Source organism: Homo sapiens, chromosome 5 (genome assembly GCF_000001405.40).
Source record: "Homo sapiens chromosome 5, GRCh38.p14 Primary Assembly".
In the NCBI taxonomy this organism is placed as follows: domain Eukaryota; kingdom Metazoa; phylum Chordata; class Mammalia; order Primates; family Hominidae; genus Homo; species Homo sapiens.
The window spans coordinates 55,803,738-55,823,579 of NC_000005.10; the positions used below are offsets into that span (position 1 = coordinate 55,803,738).

The following is a 19,842-nucleotide window of genomic DNA, read 5'->3' on the forward strand; positions in this document are numbered from 1 at the left end:
TGGGTTGGTTCCAAGTCTTTGCTATTGTGAATAGTGCCTCAATAAACATACGTGTGCATGTGTCTTTATAGCAGCATGATTTATAGTCCTTTGGGTATGTACCCAGTAATGGGATGGCTGGGTCAAATGGTATTTCTAGTTCTAGATCCCTGAGGAATCGCCACACTGACTTCCACAATGACTAGTTTACAGTCCCACCAACAGTGTAAAAGTGTTCCTATTTCTCCACATCCTCTCCAGCACCTGTTGTTTCCTGACTTTTGAATGATTGCCATTCTAACTGGTGTGAGATGGTATCTCATTGTGGTTTTGATTTGCATTTCTCTGATGGCCAGTGATGGTGAGCATTTTTTCATGTGGTTTTTGGCTGCATAAATGTCTTCTTTTGAGAAGTGTCTGTTCATGTCCTTTGCCCACTTTTTGATGGGATTGTTTGTTTTTTTCTTGTAAATTTGTTTGAGTTCATTGTAGATTCTGGATATTAGCCCTTTGTCAGATGAGTAGGTTGCGAAAATTTTCTCCCGTTTTGTAGGTTGCCTGTTCACTCTGATGGTAGTTTCTTTTGCTGTGCAGAAGCTCTTTAGTTTAATTAGATCCCATTTGTCAATTTTGGCTTTTGTTGCCATTGCTTTTGGTGTTTTAGACATGAAGTCCTTGCCCATGCCTATGTCCTGAATGGTAATGCCTAGGTTTTCTTCTAGGGTTTTTATGGTTTCTGGTCTAACGTTTAAGTCTTTAATCCATCTTGAATTGATTTTTGTATAAGGTGTAAAGAAGGGATCCAGTTTCAGCTTTCTTTTTATGGCTAGCCAGTTTTCCCAGCACCATTTATTAAATAGGGAATCCTTTCCCCATTGCTTGTTTTTCTCAGGTTTGTCAAAGATCAGATAGTTGTAGATATGCTGCGTTATTTCTGAGGGCTCTGTTCTGTTCCATTGATCTATATCTCTGTTTTGGTACCAGTACCATGCTGTTTTGGTTACTGTGGCCTTGTAGTATAGTTTGAAGTCAGGTAGTGTGATGCCTCCAGCTTTGTTCTTTTGGCTTAGGATTGACTTGGCGATGCGGGCTCTTTTTTGGTTCCATATGAACTTTAAAGTTGGTTTTTCCAATTCTGTGAAGAAAGGCATTGGTAGCTTGATGGGGATGGCATTGAATCTGTAAATTACCTTGGGCAGTATGGCCATTTTCACGATATTGATTCTTCCTACCCATGAGCATGGAATGTTCTTCCATTTGTTTGTATCCTCTTTTATTTCGTTGAGCAGTGATTTGTAGTTCTCCTTGAAGAGGTCCTTCACATCCCTTGTAAGATGGATTCCTAGGTATTTTATTTTCTTTGAAGCAATTGTGAATGGGAGTTCACTCATGATTTGGCTCTCTGTTTGTCTGTTATTGGTGTATAAGAATGCTTGTGATTTTTGTACATTGATTTTGTATCCTGAGACTTTGCTGAAGTTGCCTATCAGCTTAAGGAGATTTTGGGCTGAGACGATGGGGTTTTCTAGATATACAGTCATGTCATCTGCAAACAGAGACAATTTGACTTCCTCTTTTCCTAATTGAATACCCTTTATTTCCTTCTCCTGCCTAATTGCCCTGGCCAGAACTTCCAACACTATGTTGAATAGGAGTGGTGAGAGAGGGCATCCCTGTCTTGTGCCAGTTTTCAAAGGGAATGCTTCCAGTTTTTGCCCATTCAGTATGATATTGGCTGTGGGTTTGTCATAGATAGCTCTTATTATTTTGAAATACGTCCCATCAATACCTAATTTATTGAGAGTTTTTAGCATGAAGAGTTGTTGAATTTTGTCAAAGGCCTTTTCTGCATCTGTTGAGATGATCATGTGGTTTTTGTCTTTGGCTCTGTTTCTATGCTGGATTACATTTATTGATTTGCATACATTGAACCAGCCTTGCATCCCAGGGATGAAGCCCACTTGATCATGGTGGATAAGCTTCTTGATGTGCTGCTGGATTCGGTTTGCCAGTATTTTCTTGAGGATTTTTGCATCAATGTTCATCAGGGATATTGGTCTAAAATTCTCTTTTTTTGTTGTATCTCTGCCCGGCTTTGGTATCAGGAAGATGCTGGCCTCATAAAATGAGTTAGGGAGGATTCCCTCTTTTTCTATTGATTGGAATAGTTTCAGAAGGAATGGTACCAGCTCCTCCTTGTACCTCTGGTAGAATTCAGCTGTGAATCCATCTGGTCCTGGACTTTTTTTGGTTGGTAAGCTATTAATTATTACCTCAATTTCAGAGCCTGTTATTCGTCTATTCAGAGATTCAACTTCTTCCTGATTTAGTTTTGGGAGGGTGTATGTGTCCATGAATTTATCCATTTCTTCTAGATTTTCTAGTTTATTTGCGTAGAGGTGTTTGTAGCATTCTCTGATGGTAGTTTGTATTTCTGTGGGATTGGTGGTGATATCCCCTTTATCATTTTTTATGCATCTATTTGATTCTTCTCTCTTTTCTTCTTTATTAGTCTTGCTAGCAGTCTGTCAATTTTGTTGATCTTTTCAAAAAACCAGCTCCTGGATTCATTGATTTTTTGAAGGGTTTTTTTTGTCTCTTATTTCCTTCAGTTCTGCTCTGATCTTAGTTATTTCTTGCCATCTGCTAGCTTTTGAATGTGTTTGCTCTTGCTTCTCTAGTTCTTTTAATTGTGATATTAGGGTGTCAGTTTTAGATCTTTCCTGCTTTCTCTTGTGGGCATTTAGTGCTGTAAATTTCCCTCTACACACTGCTTTGAATGTCTCCCAGAAATTCTGGTATGTTGTGTCTTTGTTCTCATTGGTTTCAAAGAACATCTTTATTTCTGCCTTCATTTTGTTATGTACCCAGTAGTCATTCAGGAGCAGGTTGTTCAGGTTCCATGTAGTTGAGTGGTTTTGAGTGAGTTTCTTAATCCTGAGTTCTAGTTTGATTGCACTGTGGTCTGAGAGACAGTTTGTTATAATTTCTGTTCTTTAACATTTGCTGAGGAGTGCTTTACTTCCAACTATGTGATCAATTTTGGAATAAGTGCGGTGTGGTGCTGAGAAGACTGTATATTCTGTTGATTTGGGTTGGAGAGTTCTATAGATGTCTGTTAGGTCCACTTGGTGCAGAGCTGAGTTCAATTCCTGGATATCCTTGTTAACTTTCTGTCTCGATCTGTCTAATGTTGACAGTGGGGTGTTAAAGTGTCCCATTATTATTGTGTGAGAGTCTAAGTCTCTTTGTAGGTCTCTAAGGACTTGCTTTATGAATCTGGGTGCTCCTGTATTGGGTGCATATATATTTAGGATAGTTAGCTCTTCTTGTTGTATTGATCCCTTTACCATTATGTAATGGCCTTCTTTGTCTCTTTTGTTCTTTTTTGGTTTAAAGTCTGTTTTATCAGAGACTAGGATTGCAACCCCTGCCTTTTTTTGTTTTCCATTTGCTTGGTAGATCTTCCTCCATCCCTTTATTTTGAGCCTATGTGTGGCTCTGCACATGAGCTGGGTCTCCTGAATACAGCACACTGATGGGTCTTGACTCTTTATCCAGTTTGCCAGTCTTTGTCTTTTAATTGGAGCATTTAGCCCATTTACATTTAAGGTTAATATTGTTATGTGTGAATTTGATCCTGTCATTATGATGTTGGCTGGTTATTTTGCTCGTTAGTTGATGCAGTTTCTTCCTAGCCTTGATGGTCTTTACAATTTGGCATGTTTTTGCAGTGGCTGGTACCGGTTATTCCTTTCCATGTTTATTGCTTCCTTCAGGAGCTCTTTTAGGGAAGGCCTGGTGGTGACAAAATGTCTCAGCATTTGCTTGTCTGTAAAGTATTTTATTTCTCCTTCACTTTTGAAGCTTAGTTTGGCTGGATATGAAATTCTGGGTTGCAGATTCTTTTCTTTAAGAATGTTGAATATTGGCCCCCACTCTCTTCTGACTTGTAGAGTTTCTGCCGAGAGATCAGCTGTTAGTCTGATGGGCTTCCCTTTGTGGGTAACCCGACCTTTCTCTCTGGCTGCCCTTAACATTTTTTCCTTCATTTCAACTTTGGTGAATCTGACAATTATGTGTCTTGGAGTTGCTCTTCTCGAGGAGTATCTTTGTGGCGTTCTCTCTTTCCTGAATTTGAATGTTGGCCTGCCTTGCTAGATTGAAGTTCTCATGGATAATATCCTGCAGAGTGTTTTCCAACTTTCTTCCATTCTCCCTGTCACTTTCAGGTACACCAATCAGATGTAGATATGGTCTTTTCACATAGTCCCATATTTCTTGGAGGCTTTGTTCGTTTCTTTTTATTCTTTTTTCTCGAAACTTCTCTTCACATTTCATTTCATTCATTTCATCTTCCATCAGTGATACCCTTTCTTCCAGTTGATTGAATCGGCTACTGAGGCTTGTGCATTCATCCTGTAGTTCTCATGCCTTGGTTTTCAGCTCCATCAGGTCCTTTAAGGACTTCTCTGCATTGGTTATTCTAGTTAGCCATTCGTCTAATTTTTTTTCAAGGTTTTTAACTTCTTTGCCATGGCTTTGTATTCCTCCTTTAGCTCTGAGTAGTTTGATCATCTGATGCCTTCTTCTCTCAACTCGTCAAAGTCATTCTCCGTCCAGCTTTGTTCCATTGCTGGTGAGGAGCTGCGTTCCTTTGGACGAGGAGTGGCACTCTGATTTTTAGAGTTTCCAGTATTTCTGCCCTGTTTTTTCCCCATTTTTGTGGTTTTATCTACCTTTGGTCTTTGATGATGGTGACGTACAGATGGGGTTTTGGTGTGGATGTCCTTTATGTTTGTTAGTTTTCCTTCTAACAGTCAGCACCCTCAGCTGCAGGTCTGTTGGAGTTTGCTGGAGGTCCACTCCAGACCTTGTTTGCCTGGGTATCAGCAGCGGAGGCTGCAGAACAGCAGATATTGGTGAACAGCAGATATTGCTACCTGATCGTTCCTCTGGAAGTTTTGTCTCAGAGGAGTACCTGGCTGTGTGAGGTGTCAGTCTGCCCCTACTGGGGGTGCCTCCCAGTTAGGCTCCTTGGGGGTCAGGGACCCGCTTGAGGAGGCAGTCTGTCCCTTCTCAGATGTCTGGCTGCGTGCTGGGAGAACCACTACTCTCTTCAAGGCTGTCAGACAGGGACATTTAAGTCTGCAGAGGATTCTGCTGCCTTTTGTTTGTCTGTGCCCTGCCCCCAGAGGTGGAGTCTACAGAGGCAGGCAGGCCTCCCTGAGATGCGGTGGGCTCCACCCAGTTCGAGCTTCCTGGCCGCTTTGTTTACCTAAGCAAGCCTAGGCAATGGCAGGTGCCCCTCCCCTAGCTTCGCTGCTGCCTTGCAGTTTGATCTCAGACTGCTGTGCTAGCAATGAGCGAGGCTCCATGGGGGTAGGACCCTTTGAGCCAGGTGTGGGATATAATCTCCTGGTGTGCCCTTTGCTAAGACCATTGGAAAAGTGCAGTATTATGGTGGGAGTGACCCGATTTTCCAGGTGCCGTCTGTCACCCCTTTCTTTGACTAGGAAAGGGAATTCCCTGACCCCTTGCGCTTCCCAGGTGAGGCGATGCCTGGCCGTGCTTCAGCTCACGCTCAGTGTGCTGCACCAAGTGTCCTGCACCCAGTTTCTGACACTCCCCAGTGAGATGAACCCGGCACCTCAGTTGGAAATGCAGAAATCAGCCGTCTTCTGCGTCACTTATGCTGGGAGCTGTAGACTGGAGCTGTTCCTATTTGGCCATCTTGGCTCCACCCCTGATTAAGCTTATTTTCAAAGAAGAAACCTGATTTATGAAAATGAGCAGATATAATTTTTCATATCAAGAATATAAAGTAAATAGATTTAGCAGTATAATTATGAAATCATTGTTTTTACCTCTCAGACCTCTTTAGAGGATCTTGGAGACTCTGGGAAAGACTTACTTTGTCATAAAGTGTCAGTTTGTTCCAGAACATTGAAAAAGCACAATGAAAGACAAAATGGGAACTGAGTTCACCTGTAGATGTAGAATAGGGTCCAGACATTTATATTTTTACAGAATGCCATGTGTAAGTCTGATGTACATCCCTAGTGAAGAACCACTGAAGAAGATGTTAGATTCAAGTTAGGAAAGAGGTAAGGTTAGAGACGTTTTAAAAAGTGAAATTATGACTGGCAACACTGTACTATTGCATCAGGCAGCATACCTTCAAGACTTTGATAAATATAGGGAAACTCTATAGAATTACTTTATAGAATTTTGAGCAGTGTTTCTCCTGAGGGTAAAAGTATACTTTGGATGGTGAGAGAACTTACAAATCATGAGGGACTCCCGTAAAGCATACACACACACACACAAAAAATAGAGGCCGAGTATCACTTATCCAAAATACTTGAGACCAGAAGTGCTTCATATTTTTTTTTTCTTTTTTTGGAGACGGAGTTTCGCTCTTGTCGCCCAGGCTAGAGTGTGACTGCGTGATCTTGGCTCACTGCAGCCTCTGTCTCCTGGGTTCAAGCGATTCTCCTCCCTCAGCCTCCCCAGTAGCTGGGATTTCAGGCACCTGCCATCACGCCTGGCTAATTTTTGTATTTTTAGTAGAGATGGGGTTTCACCACATTGGCCAGGCTGGTCTAGAACTCCTGACCTCAGGTGATCCGCCCGCCTTGGCCTCCCAAAGTGCTGGAATTACAGGTATGAGCCACCATGCCTAGCCATGTTTCGGATTTTTTTTAATTAACTTTTGGAATATTTGCAGTACGTTTATCACTTGATCATCCCTAATCCAAAACTCTGAAATGCTCCAGTGAGCATTTCCTTTGAGCATCATGTCAGTACTCAAAGAGTTTGGGATTTTGGATTTTCAAATTAGGAATGCTCAACGTGTATTAACATTTTATCTATTCTCTTTAATCTTGGAAAAGTGTAGTCTTTTCTGGTTTGACAACTCTTACCATACAACTCTTAAATAGTAATACATCTAAAAAAAATAATTTCTAGAATCCCTTCCTTTATAATGAAATAATAAACCTTTGTGCTTTTCCTGGGGCTCTCTCTGAGAAATCTCAAAAGTTTTCTGGGTGAATTTCTTCTTCTAAATTTTTAATTTGATCTTAAAAAGACAAAAGGAGTTGTCAGAGGAGAGTTGAATATTTGATTAGTGTAGGATTCGTGGGTATCAGAAAAACTATTTGGTTATCAATTTAATTGAAGTGACAAAACATTTAGAAGTAAACATAGAAAGTGACATGGTTGTAAATAACCACAGCTCTTTCATAAATAGGGAACCTTTTCTCTTTAGTCTTTTTTTCTTCTTTTTTTCCCTTCTTTAGTCTTTTTTTTTTTTTAAACAGACCTAATAAAGTCAACAGAATCTCTGCTGTCTAGGCTGATTACAAGGAAGGTAAAGAATAACTTTTTATCCAGTGTAATGGCTCTGAGGAAAAAAAACTCTCATAAGCGAAAGCATTAAACAGTAAATTAAGAAAGTAATTCCATACAAACTGAGTGACCTTTGCTAGAATATTAACACCTTTTATAGCTTATTTTAACCCAAGTGTTTTAAATCAAAGCAGATAAAATTCAGTTTCCAAGTTTTATCTTTCATTGTGCTTTTTCAGTTTTCTGGAACAAACTGACATTTTAGGACAAAATGTGTCTCCCCCAGGTTCTCTAAGATCCCCTAATTGGGTCTGCAAGGTAAAAATAATTTTCATGATTATACTAAGAATTATTTATTTTAATATGCAAATATTGTTCAAATAAAGATTATCTTGGTGTTAATTTTTAATATGGTAAATATCAAAACACACAAGAAAAACTCCAGGATTGTCAGTGTTTTATGAGTTTAAAGGTAACACTGACCAAAATGTTTGAAAGCCACTAAACTACTTTTTTTCCTTGAAGCAAAAGCAATTACAGTTTTTATTTCTGTCACTGTTATTCCTAGTGTAGTTGCAACCACTTATGTTAATTATATCTTTTAATCATAGTAACTTCTATTTCATAAAGGAAATTGGGAGCAGGGAGATGGGAAACTGGGAGATGTCATACACAAGCATTGTCTACTGTTTTCAGTTACCTGAAGATTTTGGAAATTATCTTCAAGATGATGTTTTTCAAAACATAAATACTGTTGAATAAATGACTAAATTTAGTTGAACACAGATTTCCGTTTTCATACTCTTAAACATCATGAAGGAATAATACTAGCTTATTTGGCTAGTAAACCTCTATACATTAGGAAAAACAAACCCAAGTAGAGTAAGTGTATTAAGCTTTACACTGATAATAGGGAGAAGATGTTTTGGTTTTTTTTAAACTAAAGGTATTAGTCTCATTTACCAAAGATTTCACTTAATTATGTAAACTTGGATTCTTAAAATGATTCTGATTCTTGTAATACGTTTTTTCAAAAGTTTAATATAGTTTAAAGTATATTTTTCAAAAGTGCAAGTTCAATTTCTTTACTTTCTGAGATTTTAGGAATATTTACCTTGATAACATTTCTCTTTTATTCATCTTTATAAACAAATTTGAATAGAATTCCTTTAAGAGACTTTGTAATTTAATGTGTTAATACTTCCGTAGGGGCCGGGCGCGGTGGTTCACGCCTGTAATCCCAGCACTTTGGGAGGCCGAGGCGGGCGGATCACGAGGTTAGGAGATTGAGACCATCCTGGCTAACACGGTGAAACCCCGTCTCTACTAAAAATACAAAAAAAAATTAGCTGGGTGTGGTGGCAGGTGCCTGTAGTCCCAGCTACTCAGGAGGCTGAGGCAGGAGAATGGCGTGAACCCGGGAGGCGGAGGTTGCAGTGAGCCGAGATTGTGCCACTGCACTCCAGCAAGCCGAGATTGCGCCACTGCACTCCAGCCTGGGCAACAGAGCGAGACTGCGTCTCAAAAAAAAAAAAATGCATTTCTCAGAGGCTTAGACTTGTCTTTCACTCTTCCTTAAGCTCTTTTCCTAGATACCTGCACAGTTCACTATCTTTATATCTTTACTAAGATACCATCTAATTGGGGTATCTAAAGTAGGCCTGTCTAATAAGCCTGTCTTAAAGTATCTAAAGTAATCATCTCTGGACCCTTTATCTTGCTGATTTTTTCCTTTTTAGTACTAAATGCGTAATATTTATTTGCCTCCCCATAGTGAAAGCAGGGGCTTTTATTTCCGCATTTCCAACAGAAACATGACAGGCATCTAGTAGGCACTAAATGTTTGCTGAATAAATGAATGAAGTGAGATTACAGAGAAATGGGGAGAGAGATTATGAACAGTAATACATTTTTATATGCTTTAAAGCTATAAATTATCTTTCTTCTCCAACATTTTATAGGGAAATTCCCTGTGTGGGAAAATCTCCGGCCCATGCTTGAATTTCTACCGGTTAAATATTTTAAGGAGTAAATATTCCTTAACAAGTTAAGACCCTGGGATAAGGTTGTCATTTAATTTTTTAATATGTAAGATATTTTGGGAATGAAGGGATTTGAATTAGAGATAATGTTTGGAACACTAATTATATAGAGTTAAGCAGCCCCAGGTCAGATGCCACTATTGTAAACACCTCAGGCAATCATGGGAGAATGAAAGATTGGATTATCTTGAGAGGTAGACAGCAAAAAACATTTATAGAGCGAGGGAAATGGAGGGGAGGAAAGGACTGAGACAATTTTATATTACTAAGAGTTGGCAGGCAGATATGATTTACCTTTCCCTAAGGTTCTACTTCTTGTGTTGGCCTGGGAGGAGGAAAGAGAAGCTAATTTTTTAAATCCCTCAACTAGGAAAACAGTCCTGTGTCTTTGACATCCATTCTGGAATTAGAGTCCCTCTTATGTACCAGGCTTGGCTGTGGTGCTGGTAGTAAATACAGTGGTGGACAAAGTTTCATATTCAAGCACTGCCTCCTATCCCTGCTTTATTTTTCATTTCCTGATTTTGAAGTTTGAATATTAATAATTTCATTGTCTTGTAGGGGATGAAAGAACTATGGTCTTTGTTGAAACTAAGAAAAAAGCAGATTTTATTGCAACTTTTCTTTGTCAAGAAAAAATATCAACTACAAGTATTCATGGGTGAGTAGATGAATATAATTACCTATTAGGGGAATGACTTCTATTTGGTATTTAAGAAACATCAGTTTATATAACTAATATGATATAATCCTAGGATTGGGATTCAGAATTCTCTCAGATCTAAACTGTTATTCTCCTTTATATGAGGAAAAGGATAATACCCAGGAGTACTAAACTATTATTTTTCATCCTCATTCTTAGTTTTTAGAACTAAGTGGTTGTGGTGGGTAAGATAAAGGTCTGCCTTACTCTCAAAATAAGGAGTGGAAATTTCTCAAGAGATCTCACTTAAGGATCTCTGGCCCCTTATCAAATTTTCCTTTGCTAAATCTAATCTTTCTTAGAGCTTTTTAAAATTGGAGTGCTTTAAAATGTCATATTAATACCGTTTTATGGGCACTTCATTAGTAGATCCTAAAATATCACGTAGTATATAGTGTTGTGAAATTATACTTTAAAAATATGTTTTTAAGCAAGCATTCTAATCAAGTAGTTGTATATTTTATGTCAAGACTATAAAGCATAGAGATTATAATAGGATTTGATTTTTGTCAGACTTGAGATTGTAGTCTGTCTCTACATATTAGCTGTTACTTTACCTCATTTGCAAATGGGGATAATTTTTGCAACTCAAAGTATTATATTGAGGATTAAATAAAATGGTAGCTTGGAAGGAATTAGTATAGTACCTGGTATGTAAGAAGTGAACATTAATGTTAAATGCTGCTATTCTTTTTTTTTTTTGAGAAAGTCTTGCCCAGTCATCCAGGCTGGAGTGCAATGGCACGATCTCAGCTCACCTCTGCTTCCCCGGTTCAAGTGATTCTCCTACTTCAGCCTCCCTAGTAGCTGGAATTACAGGTGCATGCCACCATGCCCAGCTAATTTTTTGTATCTTTAATAGAGATGGTGTTTCATCATGTTGGCCAGACTGGTCTCGATCTCCTCACCTTGTGATCCACCTGCTTCAGCCTCCCAAAGTGCTGGGGTTACAGGTGTGAGCCACTGCGCCCAGCCAAATGCTGCTATTCATACTATTATTAAAAAGAAATTTGTATGTTGAACTTTAATGATTCACTTTAATGATTTTAAGAGTGGTTCTAATAACATGCTTTCTTTTCTTTCAAGTGATCGGGAACAGAGAGAGCGGGAGCAAGCTCTTGGAGATTTTCGCTTTGGAAAGTGCCCAGTTCTTGTTGCTACTTCAGTAGCTGCCAGAGGGCTGGATATTGAAAATGTGCAACATGTTATCAATTTTGATCTTCCTTCTACCATTGATGAATATGTTCATCGAATTGGGCGTACTGGTCGTTGTGGGAATACTGGCAGAGCAATTTCCTTTTTTGATCTTGAATCGGATAACCATTTAGCACAGCCTCTAGTAAAAGTATTGACAGATGTAAGTTAAACTTTTATGATGGAATGGATAGTTTTCTTACTTTGTTGTTGAAAGTAGACATTTTATGCATGTGTATATAACAAGTAAACTTTTCCAATATTTAATACTTTATGTTGCATATGAAGTCAATTTTTTTTAAAGGCTCAACAGGATGTTCCTGCATGGTTGGAAGAAATTGCCTTTAGTACATACATTCCTGGCTTCAGTGGTAGTACAAGAGGAAACGTGTTTGCATCAGTTGATACCAGAAAGGTTAGTAGAAAGGAAAACTTGAGAACTTGTCTTCTAGTTACTCTTTGTAAATGTTGTGCTTAATATTGTGAAGTAACTATAATATTTAATAATCAAGCCATTGTTTTCGTGCCTGGAAGGTAGCTACTTTATTATTTCATTAACATTTTATGTATATACATATTTTTGGTTTTAAAGGTCAGGAATTAACTTTGAGATTTATGCCTAAACAGTCTCCTTTCCCAGATTTTAAATTTTAATTTGGAATCTTTTAAACTTCTGATGGAATTATTTAATTTTTGAATTCTGACAACATTAATTAATATAAAATACAGGACCTGTTGGGGTTACAAGTCTTTTCTTTTTCTTTTCTTTTTTTTTTTTTTTGAGATAGTGTCTGGCTCTGTTGTCCAGGCTGGAGTGCAGTGGCATGATCTTGGCTCACTGCAACCTCCGCCTCCCAGGTTCAAACAATTCTCATGCCTCAGCCTCCAGTGTATCTGGGATTACAGGCATGTGCCACCATCTTAGCTGGTTTTTTTTTTTTTTTTTTTTGTATTTTTAATAGAGACAGGGTTTCACCATGTTGGCCAGGCTGGTCTCAAACTCCTGGCCTCAAGTGATCCACCTGCTTCAACCTCCCAAAGTGCTGAGATTACAGGCGTGAGCCACTGCGCCCAGCCACGAGGCTACAAGTCTTTTCTGGTATGTCAGGTTTTTATAGGCTGAACACCGCCTTTATTCAGAAACAATGAGCATGTTAATTAAATATTTATGCTGATTCATTGAGTGTAGTGCATTAAGTTTTCCCCACTTGTCAAAACTATTGACTTAAAAAATATTTTTCTTGAAACATTTTGTGCAATTTAGATTTCCTCATTTGACAGGAGCCTTTTTTCAGGTGAATCAGATTTAGTGAGAATAAAGTTCTTTGATTATTTGGGGAAGACATGGTAGATACTTTGAGTCCTTGCTCTCAGTCTGAGTGATGTAACTTTAAAGCTGTCATAAAATTAAATGTTTGTTTGTTTCTTTTTTTTTTTTTTTAAATAATTACCAGGGCAAGAGCACTTTGAACACAGCTGGGTTTTCTTCTTCACAAGCTCCCAATCCAGTAGATGATGAGTCATGGGATTAAAGCCAAAACATCCTTCAAGTCTGTGGTTTTGATGCAGAGAAGAAAATAGTTTTGATTTTTGAGTTTTTAACAGAAGTATAAAACTTAACATTCTCATAGCTCCTGTCCTTGTATTCTCACTCCTACACTTAAAAAAAAAATCCTTACTGACTAGTTATGTGAGATGCTAAAACTTACAACATTGCAGTTACTGATACAAATGGTGTTAACTGGGAATATTAAAGCATTCTAAATGTCTTTCTTATTTCTGGTATATTCTTTAGGGGGCTTAGACATGTTTAATGTTTAAATGCCAAGTCTTACTATAGTGTTTATTGATCTTATAAAACAAGCAAATAGGATATGATACACTTTTGGTTAAAAATTACTGGGTCTCATTTTTACTTGAGTCTTTAAAACAGTAGTGTGTCACTATAATGTGATAATCTTTAAGAGAAAGTAGAATACTTAAGCCTTTCAAAGTGATTTTGATTTTTAGATCATCAGATGTATGATGAAAATGGTTAAATGTTTGTGATGGGAGCTCTGTACTCAATGGCATAACAATGTTTATTTTTATAATATACAATCTTTCCTTGAAATAAAGGATGAAACACTTTTCCCTTAAGTTTTCCATCAGCACTTTAAATTTTTCTTTGTTGCATATCCTAGCCCAAACTCCTATATTTTTGAAACTGTTTTTTTGTGTCTTGCGTAACCAGTGCAGTGAACAAAGTCTTACATAAATTAAATATTAATGTATAAACATTACTGCACAGATGTGGCAATGAAAATCAATCTTAGAACTCAAACCCGTTTATCAACAAAAAACAATGCTGCTTACTCTTTCCATAAGTTTTTGATTCATATTTTAAGATTGATGAAAGAACCCTGTCTTTCTTCATTTTCCATTATATATCTTGAACTTACTATGCCTAGAATAATGAAGTTCTTTTTTTTTTTGAGACGGAGTCTTGCTCTTGTTGCTAAGGCTGGAGTGTAATGGCGTGATCTTGGCTCACTGCAACCTCTGCCTCCCGGGTTCAAGCAGTTCTCCTGCCTCAGCCTCTCCCGAGTAGCTGGGATTACAGACACGCGCCACAATGCCCAGCTAATTTTTAGTAGAGACGGGTTTCACTATGTTGGCCAGCCTGGTCTCGAACTCCTGACCTCGTGATCCGCCCGCCTCCACCTCTCAAAGTGCTGGGATTACACGCGTGAGCCACCGCACCCAGCCCGAAGTTATTAATTAATTGTTAAATGAACGAACCCAAATATTTAAGACCCAGTGAGGTGTAAATACTGGGGAGACAAAAATGATTGGTATTAAGTGTTACTGTTCACCTAAACAATCCAAAGTGACATGTCCCTGATGTATATCTTGTTATAGGAATTTAGTTAATAAATGAGGCATCACATATGAAAAAGGAAGGCATATCAACAGATAGTGTTAGAATAACTGGGTAGATGCCTACCTCATGCCATATTTAAAATTAACTTCATGTGAATTATAAAATATTAAAGCTAATAGTTAAATATTAACCCTTTGAAGGGTTGACTTTAAGCTAAGGAACAGAAATCAAAAAAGAAACAACAGATTTGATCACTCAAGGAAAGATTAGTTGCCTACATAAAAAATAGTGAAAAGTAGACAAGGAAAAATATTACTGTGACCACAGTGGTTATCAGTGTTCTTTATATGTGGATATACTAATAGAAGAATACAAAGAACATAGAAACTCAAAAAGGGCACCAGCATGGCACATGTATACATATGTAACAAACCTGCATGTTGTGCACATGTACTCTAGAACTTCGAGTATAATAATAAAAAGAAAAAATGTTGACAACAAGAAAAACTCAAAAAGGGAAGTTCAATTAATAAAAATATGGGACATATTTCACTTTTCTTCTGTTATCTCACTTCTGGGAAAGGCTAAATGAATGAAGGTGTTTGGATTGTTATTTGTAATATCTGTATGTCTTAATTTTCTAGTTTCGTTTAGGAAGAGTATAGGCCAGTCTTGTCTCATTTTTTTCATTGCTTTTTTTTTTTTTAACAGATTGCTCCCTCTGAACTGATTCCTTTTAAGCTTTTGCTTGATTTGTCAGATTACCATAGTAGCATTACTGAATCAAATATAAAAAAGGAAAGGAAATGTATCATACATCTACCACCATTACAGATGAACTGTAAATGTCCCTATGTTTAATTACTCTCCTCATTTCTAGGTATAGGTTTGAATCATCTCTTTAAAAATTATCAAAGTAACATGCATAAATTAGAAAAGAAAATGCCATAGAAGCATTTATAATAGAAAGCAATATTTTTCTGCCCCTCCCCTTCCAAATTGCCATTCCACATCCAACAATCAGCTATTATTAACAATTTCTGTTCACTGCCATCATATACAGGTTGAGTATCCCTTATCTGAAATGCTCGGGACCAGAAATGTTTCAGATATCAGATTTTTTTTTGGATTTTGGAATATTTGCATAATATATAATGAGAGATCTTGGAGATGGGACCCAAGCCTAAACATGAAATTCATTTGTTTCATTATACCTCATATACAACTTGAAGATAAGTTTTGATATTTTAAGTAATTTTGTGCATGAAACAAAGTTTGTGTACCTTGAGCTGTCTGAAAACTAAGGTGTCACTATCTTAGTCACATGTGGACAATCTGAGGCATCACATTGGTGCTCAAGGTTTCAGGTTTAGGAGCATTTGGGATTTTGAATTTTTGGATTAGGGATGCTCAACCTGTATTTTTATGTCACCAACCAGAACGTCTGTTGACTTTGATATATGAAGATTTAACTCACATCTCTGACTCGCCGTAGAAGTATACCTGTGAGATGATTTTAAAGGCACCTTTTCCTTTCCTCTATTTGTATGTCATAACATCTGTAAACTGCACATTTACATTTCCCAAGTTAACATTTGCATTTTCTATAACCATAAAGTCTCCCTTATATACACAGATTCCAGAATTGAAAATCAAAAGCATGTGTTTATATAAATATTGTTCACTGGATGGGCCAATTCACACAGTCTTGATTGCCTCACCTTTACTATCTTCCTAATTTTATGACTTTTGTGTCTGCAGGGAGAATGGGAAGTGTCAGGGTCAAATGAAAACTGCCCAAAGCCATTCCACATACCAGCTTGCTTTGAATTTGGATCACACAATTTTTGAGCAATTTGTTTACCCTGTTTGTAGTGTTTTTTTGTTTTGAAGGAGACAGATCATGCATTTTTCATATTACCTTCCCAGGTTTGATGTTAATTTTCTTAAAAGATCCCAAAAGATATTGGTTGTCTTCACTTTTATGATGAATGCGACTTGTGTGTGATACTCAGGGTGCTTTGAAAATTGTTTTTTTTTTTTTTCTTGGTCCCTAGGAGTGTTTTTTGTATTTGATAATTTTTTTCCCAAGTTTTCTCTGTTCTCTATTTTTGGAGCTTCTATTAGATTCCAGAACTGAATTCTCTATTGTATCTTTCCTGTTTTTTTCATCTTTTATATTCTAGTATATATTTTTTACTTTCAACCGTTTTATTAGCAATTGTTTTTAATTCTCCAGAGCTCGCTTGCTCACTCTATATATGTTTAAATGTTGCTTAATAATAGTGAATTTTCTGCTTTACTAGTGCTTTTTAAATTCCTGGAATTTAACCTAAGAAATCATGTCTTATGTTGATCATTTGTTTTTCTGCTGCTTGGTGTCAGATATCTTAACCCTTGATCATTTTATAAGTTGTAGGTACACATGCTTCTCAATTTACAATGGAATTACATCCCGATAAACCCACTGTAAGTTGAAGATATCAGTAAGCCAAAAATCCATTAAATACACCTAAACCTGCTGAACATCATAGCTTAGCCTAACCTGCCTTAAACGTGCTGACAACACTTACATTAGCCTAAAGTTGGGCAAATTCGTCTATAAAAAGCCGATTTCATAATGTGTTGAATATCTCATCTCATTTATTGAATACTGAAAGTGAAAAACTGGTTGTATATGGGCACTCACCATTAACGTACACAGCTGAAAGCACACTGGGCCAAAGAATGTTTGAAACATCTAGAATTGCTGGATGACAGGGATGCCACGGTGACAGGGCAATCAATTTCTCTTCTGGTGAGGCTCAAGAATAAGCACTTGGGCATCCACACAGAATGCTTTAGCGTTTGGGTGGTTTACACTCGTGGTCTCATGGCTGGCTAAAAGCTGTGTCTGGCTGCTGCTGCCCATCATCACAGTCTCCATCCACCACATACTGCTAGCCTGGGAAAAGAGCAAAATTCACAGTACGATTTCTGCTGAATGCATATCGCTTTTACACCATCATAAAGTCAAAAAGTCATGTAAGTTTAACCACTGTAAGGGTCCGTTAGGTATATTTAATGCAACTCAAGATCAACTTTCATCAGATTCTGCAAGCTCTTCCATTTTTGTACTTTTCCCCTCAGCCCTTAGAATTGAGTGTCCTTTTTCTAATTATTTCAAGGTCTGCTCTCAAGGCAGAGGTTGAGATGTGACTGATAAGGCTTAACTTTTCTTCTTTGAATTCTTTGCATTTTAATAGGAGTGAAAGACTGTGGCCTTAGCTAAAAGGAAGCTCAAAATGTGGAATCACCATTTTGAGCAACATATGCTACGCAAACACCAGCTACGTATGTGAGAGTTGGGGAATAATGGTGATGTAGTGGGGAAGGAACATCAGGGGATACCTGATATCACACAGGATGGGTAACCTACCTGTTCCACCAGTCCCTGGGATCTTGGGGGTGGAGTAGATATGTCTTTTCTGATTTCACTGTTTGCACTTACAACATTTTCCCCTATTTATTTACTAGAGACAGGGTCCTGCTGTGTTGGCCAGGCTGATCTCGAACTCCTGGCCTCCCAAAGTGCTGGATTACAGGTACATGCCACAGTGCCTGGCTTTGATAACATTTTTATTATATAGGACGGCAGCAGTGGTCAGTTTTCCCCTCGCACCTTCCCCATAGCTTCACACTTGTGCTGGTTTGCGTAGATCTCTCTCATTAGTGCCCTAACTTGGGAGCAGCCATTTTTTCATTTTGTTCGGTGTGGCCTTCATCGATTTTTTTAGCGTATTGGAAATAGGGCGGTATTTTGTTTTCTAAAGCATTTTCTAAAAACTTCGACTTGCCAGTATGTGCTTATGCTCACTGTTGGATTTAGATTCCCCGGTCCACACCGAAGCGCGATCCTAGTACCTCCAGCGTGAAACAGTCCAGAAAGGAGTCGTCGATGTCCCGGGGCCCTGGCCGGGAGAACGCCTCGCGGGGCGGGCTGGTGGGTGGCTGTGTGCGGGGAGCCGCGGCGAAGCTGCTTCCGCCCGCGTGTCCCGAGCTCGCGGAGGCGGGCTTCCACGGGCGGCCCTGACCCGGTGGTCCTGACGCTCTCCCAGCCAGCGGCGGGAGGCTTCCCAGGGGCGGAGCGAGAGGTTGGCCCGGTAGGATCGGGGGACTGAGCCGAGAGTCACCGCGGTTCCTGCCCCGGGAGCCCGGGCTGGCCACACCCAGGTGAGTGGCACTGTGGGGCGCGGCGCAGCTAGGCTGGCCCCGCGGGTTTTCCTCGGGCTCTCACTTTAGAATAGCAGTTCTGATCTCTTTGGATCACATAAATTATAGAACCAAGTTTTACATAAAATTGCAGGGGCTTTAACCTTTAACCTCCTTGAAATCCATTAACAGACCCACCCAAGGGAGCCAAGAACTGCACATTGACCCCTGCTCTAGAGACAGATGGTGCCATGAGGGATTCCATGCCAGGAGGGGACAGGGGACCAGGGGTTGGTGTGTGGGGACACTGATGCTGGACACTGAGCAAATGAGATTTGTCCCAGTTCTTTGATCTTTACCTAAGTGATTCATTGTTTTGCTGTAATTTTTAGGATGTTTATCAAATCATCAAAGTAGCTCATCTGGAAGATACTTTTCTGTGGGAGATTTCTTGAAAGATTTTTTTGTCTCCATCAGAGTTTTCTGGATTTAGAGTCTCATATTTCTGTGGGATTCTTTTTCAGAATCAAAAATCTTTTCCCTCTCCTTCTGAACATAGGAACTTACTATCCCACCATCTTGGATATTTTAACTTGGTTTTAGTTTTGGAATGAGGCTTACCGTGTGGGAGATTGAAGAATTCTCAACAGAAATCAAAGCACTTTAAAATAGTTTTAAAAATTATGGATAGCAGGAGAAGCTTCTTCTATATAACAAAGTAAGCCTGATACTAGTTGGAGTAGCCTTAACATTGGCTATATTTGCCGACTTGTGTAGTACCTAGTGTTATCAATGACCTGCTTTAGGCTTTGATTTGCTTATGTGTAAAAGGAAGATAATAACTAGATTTTTTTCCCCACATCTCCATCTGATGAAGTCACACAGTCCATACAGTTACATAAAGTATTTTTAAGAGGCAGCCCTGTGTAAGAAGGCTCAGTATCATAGCTGAATGCTGGTGCACTTGGATTTTAGTGCTCAGGTCTTATTCTGGTATTGCATTAACTGCTTTGTCGATTTTAGAGAGTTGATTCTTAAGAAGTCAGTGATCACTTTGCCAACTCTAGTGGTTGAATCTCTATTACGATACAGTTTGCCCTTGGGATATCATACAGCAAGAGTGATGCCTGTTAATTGACCATTTTGGCATCTTATTATATACCTCCTCTAGCAATTGTTTCATTAATCTTAGATTGTTCCATTACTGGAGATTTATTCATGATAATCCACTGATGCCAATCAGCTAAGCATACTTCCCAATGTGTTCATGCCAGTTAAATGTTGCAATACAAGTTCTGGCAATTTCATCTTAACATGTTTGTTCTTCAGCTGAGGTATTTTATTGGGCTAGCAGTCATCTGGATAGGTGGAAAGTTTGGTTCCAATAATTTACTTCAGTTTTATAAACAGAATTACTGTTGCTATGATGCCACAAAGAAAACACTATCATTTGGAGTAGAATTTAGAATGTATACGTGCCAAAATAAGTTCAGTTTATCATAGTGTGAATACTATAA

General features: G+C 38.5%; 1 protein-coding gene across 7 annotated transcripts in view; it reads left to right on the forward strand.

The window, feature by feature from the left end:
- The window catches only part of DDX4 (DEAD-box helicase 4), a 79,097-nt gene extending 65,677 nt beyond the window's left edge, over positions 1-13,420 (forward strand). For all 7 annotated transcript variants that reach the window (XM_024446119.2, NM_024415.3, NM_001142549.2 and 4 more), the window contains 4 exons: positions 9,936-10,035; positions 11,164-11,434; positions 11,576-11,686; positions 12,726-13,420. In XM_024446119.2, coding sequence (XP_024301887.1) covers positions 9,936-10,035; positions 11,164-11,434; positions 11,576-11,686; positions 12,726-12,803 — 560 coding nt within the window. In that variant the 3' untranslated portion in view covers positions 12,804-13,420. The remainder of the gene's footprint in view (positions 1-9,935; positions 10,036-11,163; positions 11,435-11,575; positions 11,687-12,725) is intronic.
- The last annotated feature ends 6,422 nt before the right edge of the window (positions 13,421-19,842 follow it).